At 36.9% G+C, this 8,838-nt stretch overlaps 1 long non-coding RNA gene across 2 annotated transcripts; it reads left to right on the top strand.

The window, feature by feature from the left end:
- The first annotated feature begins 246 nt into the window (after positions 1-246).
- On the top strand, positions 247-7,149 carry LOC107984692 (uncharacterized). 2 transcript variants are annotated; one of them, XR_001750786.2, is made up of 3 exons: positions 247-814; positions 6,516-6,632; positions 7,049-7,149. It is a non-coding gene; the product is annotated as an uncharacterized LOC107984692 (long non-coding RNA). The 2 variants fall into 2 exon arrangements; XR_001750785.2 differs by lacking the exon at positions 247-814 and adding an exon at positions 3,410-3,496.
- The last annotated feature ends 1,689 nt before the right edge of the window (positions 7,150-8,838 follow it).

Below are 8,838 nucleotides of genomic sequence, written 5' to 3'. Positions count from 1 at the left end.
GTACCATGTTGTTTTGGCTACTGTAGCCTTGAAAATCAAGACAATTATTTGGCTTCTTTGTCTTAATATTACAGCCAGGTCTCATCAAGATAATGGTTACCTTTTGACAAGTAAAAAGTTTTTATTTGCTCATGCTGAGCAGCACAGAGAGTAATGGGAAGTGAGGATTGGAAAAAGAGACTTCAGGATAGATAATCCATCCAAATTCATTTGATTGGGCAAACTAATTAATAATATACATTTTAAATCTGCAGTAAACATTTCCCCAGGAATAAGCTGTCTTGGACTCACCTGCTTCTAAAAGGCCAGTATAAACAGTGGTACTTGACCACATTCCTCCTCTTACTTATAAGTTAACTGTTAATAACATTCCCCAGAAACAGATTTTCCCCCCTGCATTTTTACATTCCAGGCTATTTCATGTCAGAACACAATTGAAGTTCAAATTTTATTTTGTCATGAATATTTTGGGATATATTGTATATATTTGGTAAATCACAAGACTGTTGTTTTATTGATGGGCAGAAGACTATTTTTGTTGTTTACTGTTTGGTTTTAGGGGTGGAGACATTTTAAATTAAAGCAATTTAGCTTCCTATGCCTCTCATTCCACTGCTATTTGATTTTCTAATAGAATTGTTTGTTTCTTAAACCTCTAAATGCATACTGATGATGGCTTTTGTGAGCTATTACTTGATGGGGGCAAAAATATTTCAAATTTTGGAGACAGACATTCATGAAGTGCTGAACAATTCCATTTGAGAGGCCAAAGCAGCTTATGCTGACACAACTACAGAAGTTGAAATCTTTACAGGTAAGAGATGAAGGGGCTTTGTTTTGGAGTTTTAAATTTGCTGTCTGTGTTGAAAGAGTGCTGTAGATAAAAGATTGTATAGATTGGTGTCCTATGTATTTTCCTAAATGTATATAAATAATAGCACCAGTTTTTCCTTCATTTGATGAGAATAAATAAAAGATAAGTCCCGATACTGGCAGAAGACAGAAAGACAACAGCAAGAGAATGCAAAGGAGTAAGATAGTTATAGGTGAGGGGAAAATTACAGAGCAGGGCATATCTCTAATTAATTTTTTGAGGGCCAAAAGAGAAGTCTTATTTTTAGTTTACTTTTTTAAAAAAATGTTTTAAATGATGCCAATCATTTAAATTTTTTAAAGTAACATGAAACTTTATCTACATGAGCCATAACTCCTTCATCCTGGAAATCCAGACCCTGCTTGTATTTTTAAGATGGCATCTCAATAGTATATGCAGCTTCTCTCTTATTTTGAATTTTTGATCATTTGTCTCTTCCATAACAAATTCTGTGCACCTTTTCCCTTTAGTAGGTAGACTCAGCAGTGGTATTTCTACCTAGTTTCCCAACGTACTGGGATAAGTGGCAAAGCCAGACTAGCCAGACTCCCCAGGACTCCTGATAGAACTGTAATGTCCACAAGTTTCTCTGGAATTTAGCTAGAGCTTACCTAGAGAATTTTGTGATTCAAAAACAAAAAGTTACTATAGGTTTCTACTAAACTTCAGACAATTCTAGCATATTTTGTTATCAACTGAGAACCATTAGGGTTTACAAAAACAGTCAGCATAGTTTAAGGTAGTGGCTGTGGAAGACACTCAGGAGGTTCCTGGAAAACACCAGTTTAGACTGTCAGAGACCTCCGGCACTGCCACGGAATTTTCCTTCTCCTGGCAACATAGGAGTTTAATAAGTAATAACTGCTGTTTCTGAGTATGGCATGCTCAGATCTATTTTCCCTTATTAAAAATAGCCTGCATGTTCTCGCTTATGGAGGTGAATGTGATGCCTACAAACTTCCCAACAAAATGATCCTATTTGTTTAGAAATCATTCTCATTTGCTTGTAATATTTTGGTTAAAGAATCGGGAGAATCTTGGAATCCAGGGGCCCACATAAGGTAAGAGTTTTGGGACTGGATATCTCCATGACCTGTGGTTTCTGCCTTGAAGAAAGGAACATGGAGATCTGACTCCTATCTCCCTCGGTGCAGAGCCTGGTGGTGCTCACAGAGGCCTGGCTGAATGGTGGGCCTGCATTTTGTCATCTCCTCCCCTGTCCCAGTGAGCCACTCCAGCTGTGAGCCAGGGCAGTTGAAGGATCCTAGCTTTAGGCAGTTACGCAGCGGTCAAAGGTCTTGTTTAATAGAGAATTAAGGGAGGTGAAACCGTTTGACCACTCTCTTTGATGTTCTGCGATTTTTATCTCCTAATAGAATTAAAATACCAACTATCCTGAGGAATGGAGATAGCCCTTATTTTGCAGTCCCGAAAACAGTCAATAAGCCTATTTTTCTTTTATTCTTAAAACAAATTGTTTTCTCTTAACCAAATGGGAGTTAAGGCAAACTGTGAATTTATATGATGAGTTTAGAAATGACTTCAAATGGCCATGAGCTTCTCATTTGTTGAAATGGCTTTGACATTGCCAGGCTGTCTAAAATATGACCACAGGCAGCCAAGGGAACTTTTGTGCAAATCTCATGAACAACTGTGAGACTCTGGCATAGCGTTCTTTTTTCTTTTTCTGTTTTGTGATGTTGCATTCTTTTTTCCTTTTTATATCATTGAAAATAAAAATTGAACTTAAGGGCCATAAGCACGAAGGGACAGATTTCTTTACGTCATCATTATGTGTGTGTGTAATATGTTTAGACAAAAGCAACCCCAAATTCACAATTTAGAGAAACAAGACTTTGTTAAATTTTGTGCTGTGCCTAAGGCAGCAAATACCAATATGTGTAAATTAAAATTAGATGCAGTAATAGGGATTGGCTCATCCAACAGTAACAGAAAGGATTATTCAAGCTTGACTATGTGCTAAATAGCATTTTTTTCATTTTTCTTTTTCCCATAAATAGGTGTTATGAATGGTTATAGCTGAACACACAACATAAGCCTTTTTAAAATTCAGCAATGTATGATTATTAATTTTCCATATCATTGAATATACTTTCACACTGCAGTTCTTAAAGATTGAAAAGTATTTTATCATTTCATTTTACTCAGTAAATTCCTTGTAATGTTAGACACTTATGTTAGTTCCAATTTTTCACTCACAAATAATGCTTCAGTGATATACTTCCATCTTTCTCACTTTTCTGGTCATTTCCTTAGGAGAAATTCCTGGGTGTAAAGTGGCTGGATCATACATTTAAGATCATAAGATCTTAAATGCTGTGTGTGCTGCCGGGGCTGTCATAACAAAATATTATGCACCAAATAAAACAATGCACCAAAAGCACATGTTCCAAGGAGTAGTCATATTGAGCATTTGTCTCCTAGCATCCATCAGGTTACAAGTCAATTGCTCCCAGAATTCCTACTGGTCAGATACTCTGTATTTTCTGTGCCTTGTTGAGGATCCCTCAAATTATCATATTCCTGAATTTTGTGAGCAAGGCAGTGTCACCACCATTTTCAGGACTTTGGAAATACCTTCAGAATATGGGAATGGAAGAGGTAATGTTTACTAATAATTTTGTTTTCTTATATATACTTGAGTTCACAACCTTACTTAAAATATACATACAACACCTAATAAATTCTTGCTAAATACATATATATATGTACATATATGTGTAGGTATATATGTGGTCCCCTCAATATATATTTGATGTGCTGTTTGTTACTCCACTATATGTGTACCTCTCTGGTATCCAGGACACGGGCCTATATGTAAAACATATATAACAACTGATTTATTGGAACTTCATTACACAAATAGAAATTCTATATTAAAATGGTATGTGTTAAAATACTATGTTAAAATGCTTGCCCTATATTTTTGGAACTCCTAGCTCAAAAGGGTATTCAGACCAAAATATTATATGTAGTGATTTTTCTTCTTCAGACAATAAGAATATTATTTCAAAGAATACTTATAGAGTATTATAGCATAAATGCAGTTTCAAAACCATTTTATTGATTATTTGAACAATTCTATGAGGTATGGGCAAATCTAACATCTAGATCTTCTAGGAGAAAGTTATCAACTTGAATTCATTTCTTCTGTTCCTAGGCTCTGAGCTCTGTTATCTCACAATGCTCTGTCAACACTGCTAAGGGCAAGCAATTATTTAAGGTGATAGATTGTAGGCTGTTTCACTTTCTTAACATATGATTTCTTATACTGTAGTATATGATTAGTAGAGGCTGTTTGGAAGTCTTACAGGAAAATACGTGTTTATTTGGGGCAAAGTGAAATAAAGAGAAATGACTTGGACAGATAGTCCACTCCTGATATTCCAGGTATCCCACAAGGAGATACACAGAGGAGACAAGGCCAGGCAAAATGTTTGTGCTTGTTACCATGAGGCTTTGTGTCTGTGTATTCCTGTGAACCAGGCTGCACTTTGGCAACAATCCCTTGTGCTTACATTAATCCAGTGTGAGTGGCCAACCGAGGCAGGACACTCCTTTCCCTTCCCCTCTGAGCTCATACTCGCTGGCTTAAGAGTGATATTAAAAGACCAGCTTGATGTCTAGACAGGCCTGGTCTAAGCAAGCTGCCCCAGGCCTTCTCAGGAAAGAGCATTGCTGAGTCGAAGCAGACTCTGGCTGGTGTTACTTCCTCAATCTAAGGAAGTAAAGTCCAGAAAAAGAAACTCTTGGGAGAGTACAGGCATACCTCACTTTACTGCATGTTGCTGCACTTCACAGATAATTGTGTTTTTTACACATTGAAGGTTTGTGGCAACCCGTGGAGCAAGTCTGTTGGCCTCATTTTTCCAACAGCATGTGCTCACTTACTGTTTCTGTGTTATATTTTAATTCTCACAATATTTCAAGCTTTTTCATTATCATTATATCTATTATGGTGATGTGTGATCAGTGATCTTTGATGTTACTGTTGTAATGGTTTTGAGGTGCCACCAACCATGACCAAATAAGACAATGACCTTAATTGATAATGTTGTATGCGTTCTAACTGTTCTACTGACCACCCATTTTCCCATCTCTCACCCTCTCCTCGGGCCTCTCTATTCCTTGAAACACAACAGTATTGAAATTAGGCCAATTAATAACCTCACAAAGACCCCTAAGCATCCAAGTGAAAGAAGAGTTTCACGTCTCTCACTTTAAGTCAAAAGCTAGAAAGGATTTTAGTGAGGACGGCATGTTGAAAGCTGAGATAGGCTGAAATCTAGACCTCTTGCATCAAACAGCCAAGTCATGAATGCAAAGGAAAAGTTCTTAAAGGAAATGAAAAGTGCTACTCCACTGAATCCACAAATGATGAGAAAATGAAACAGACTTATTGCTGATATGGAGAAAATTTTAGTGGTCTGGATAGAAGATCCAACCAGCCACATCATTCCCTTAAGCCTGAGCAAGGCTCTAACTCTTTTCAATTCTGTGAAGGCTGAGAAAGGTAAGGAAGCTGCAAGAGAAAGTTTGATGCTAGCAGAGGATGCTTCATGAGGTTTAAGGAAAGAAGCTGTCTCTATAACGTGAGTGCATGGTGAAGCAGTAAGTGCTGATCAAGAAGCCATAGCAAGTTATCCAGAAGATCAAGCTAAGATCATTGATGAAGGTGGTGACACAATAGATTTTAATTGCAGGTGAAACAATCTTACATTGAAAGATGTTATCTAGGACTTTCATAGCAAGAGAGGAGAAGTCAATGCCTGGCTTCAAAGCTTCAAAAGACAGACTAACTCTCTTATTAGAGGCTAATGAAGCTGGTGACTTTAAGTTGAAGCCAATGTTTATTTGCCATTCTGAAAATCCTACGTTTTCTGACCCTCCCACAGAAAATGAAAGTATCAATATCAATTGTCCCTTATTTCCAAGCTTCTTAAAAGGTCCATAATACATGCTAATAATCAGCTTTCTATTTCTTTCACCTTCTTCTAATTCTGCTGTCTTCTGCTACAGGTACATCAAGCAGTACTTGATTGGAATGTCTCTAAAGTTGATCATGAGTATCCATTTTCAAACTTCTAGACCAACAACAGAGCACATAGAATTTCATAATATCAGCTCCATATCCTACCAAATTTAGAAAGTAGTTCAAATTCCACAATCCAATATAATAATTACAATAAGCGCTAAAATTCAAGGAACTATTTACATGATGTCCCTTTATCATAATACATTTTAGAATTATATAATGCTCTTAGCATAGTGTCTGTCCCATATGAGATATTCTACAAACAAAAGCTTAAAAGACATGTTATTTGTAATATTGGTTTCCCTCTCTGTCTCTCCTCCTTTCCTCCAATAAAACTGTAATCTCTCTGTAGACAAACTAGTTTTTTTCTTTGTATCTTGAGTATCTCTCATGGAACTAATAGGAAAAGCTCAATAAATGCTTTTTGAGTAAATGAATGAATGAATGAAGAGGTAGTATATTGCATTGTTAAGAATTTGAATTTCATCATGAAAAGCATTTAATCAGTTAATAGGATATAGAATTGTAAATGAAATATTCAATTTTTAGATTGGAAAATACATTTATTTTCTCTCAAAATTTCAGATTTTGAAATGTCTCTGAACAAAACACAATTAGTTTATAAATTGATGTCCAGAACTTCCAGATGACGATTGTTCCTCCTACCTTTTTGGACTCAGCCAGTGGGACCCAGAGCTTGAGGTGAGAGTGAGCAGGTCACAAAACAAAAGAATACTATAGTCTGAGACACACAGAGGATGGGAAGGAAGGGCAGGTTTTAAATGTAAAGTGCAACAAAACGCATGAAGAGGGAGAAATGAAATAAAGGGTCAGCAATAGATATTCACAAGGAAGAAGTTAATTCAGCAGGTGGAGCAAGGAAATACTCCCACATTCAAGGGAAGTCTGCCTGTCAGAGTGTGGTAGGAGACACCCAGTAAGCTCTTAAACAGATTTGTAAAGGGGAAATGTTGGTTTAGTTAGATTAATATTAACATCTATCTTCCCTCCTTCCCTCCCTCCCTCCCCCTCCCTTCCTTCTTCCTTTCCCCTCCTCCTTGCTTTCCTCCTTCCCTTCTTCCTTCCTTTCCCCCTTCCCTTCCCTTCCTTTTTTCTAGAAACAAGTAAAAATTTACAGACTCTTCTTCTTCTGGACTTCTCATTTTCATCCTGCTACCACTATTAACTTTCGTGCATACAGTGGGCTGGACTTATAAGAAAGGATTATATTTTGCATTGACCTTAAGCATCATTGGGTTTGGTGACTATGTATTAGGTAGGTCAACTGATATTAATCATAGAATTTTATTATTACTAGCTACAGAATCAACAGATTTTTTTTTTGAGAGGGAGTCTTGCTCTGTCGCCCAGACTGGAGTGTAGTGGTGCCATCTCGACCCACCGCAACCTCTGCCTCTCAGGTTCAAGCGATTCTCCTGCCTCAGCCTCCCGAGTAGCTAGAATTACAGGTGTCCACCAACACACCCAGCTAATTTTTGCATTTTTAGTAGAGACCAGATTTCACCATCTTGGCCAGCCTGGTCTCAAACTCCTGATCTCGAGTAATCCACCCACCTCCACCTCCCAAAGTGCTGGGATTACAGGTGTGAGCCACCATGCCCAGCCAGAATCAACAGAATTTTAGATAGAAGTATAACTAGAAATTTAGAAGTTATCTATTAGAGTAGGATGGAGGCCAAAAACTATTTTTAAAACTCCAATCATGTGATACTAAAAAAATTCAAAATGAGAATTATAACTATAAATTTAGAACTATAATTATGTATTCTTATTGAATATAATATTCATTTTATAAGTGCTACTTCTTAATTTCCAGTTAGTGTAAAATAATCTATAATAGTCAGTGATTAGACTCCACATGTAGGCTTTTTGTGGGTTTATACTAATGTGTTATAGCTTATAAAGGGGAAAAGGGGATGAGAGGCAAAATTCAACTTTCGGTGACTTAAATGTGATTGGATTTTTGCCTTTAGGTATAAATCCTTCTAAGAATTACTCACGAATTTACCCAATAATACGAATACTTTGGTGTACCTTTGGTCTTCCTTGAATTGCCAGTGTCCAGGAGATTTTCCCCTATGTTTTATTCTGGAGGTTTTATAGTTTCTGGTCTTATATCTGGTCTTGAATTGCCAATATCCAGGAGATTTTCCCCTATGTTTTATTCTGGAGGCTTTGTAGTTTCTGGTCTTACAGTTAAGTCTTTTATCCATTATAAGTTGATTTTTGTGGGTGAAGTGTTTCTTTGTTTTTCTGCATGTGGAAATCCCATTTTCTCAGTACCATTTATTGAAGAGACTATCCTTTCCCAGTTGTGTCCTCTTGATGCCCTTTTCAAAAATTAGTTTACCATATATGGTTGGATTTATTTCTGAGATCTCTATTCTGTTCTACTGGTCTATGTGATGGCTTTTAGCTCAGTACCATACTGTTCTGACTACTATAGCTTTGTACTATAGTTTTAAATCAGGAAATGTGATGCCTCGAAATTTATTTTTTCTTTTCAGAATTATTTTAGCTATTTGGAGTCTTTTATGTTTCCACGTTAATTTTAGGATTAGTTTTTTCTATTCCTGTGAAGAATGTGATCAGGATTTTAATAGGAATTGTGTTTAATCTGTATATTGCTTGGAATAGTATGGAAATTTTAACAGTATTAATTTTTCTTTTTCTTTTGAGAAAGAGTCTCACTCTGTTGCCCAGGCTGTGATCTCAGCACACTGCAACCTCTGGCACCCAGGTTCAAGTGATTCTCCTGCCTCAGCCTCCCGAGTAGCTGGGATTACAGGCACCTGCTGCCACACCCAGAAAAGATGTTAGACTTTTGTATTTTTAGTAGAGACGGGTTTTTACCATCTTGGCCAGGCTGGTCTTGAAATCCTGACCT

The sequence above is a fragment of the Homo sapiens genome, chromosome 14 (genome assembly GCF_000001405.40).
Source record: "Homo sapiens chromosome 14, GRCh38.p14 Primary Assembly".
Classification (NCBI taxonomy): Eukaryota; Metazoa; Chordata; class Mammalia; order Primates; family Hominidae; genus Homo; species Homo sapiens.
Note: the sequence above shows the minus strand (reverse complement) of the source record. Positions and strands in the feature narration are given on the sequence as shown.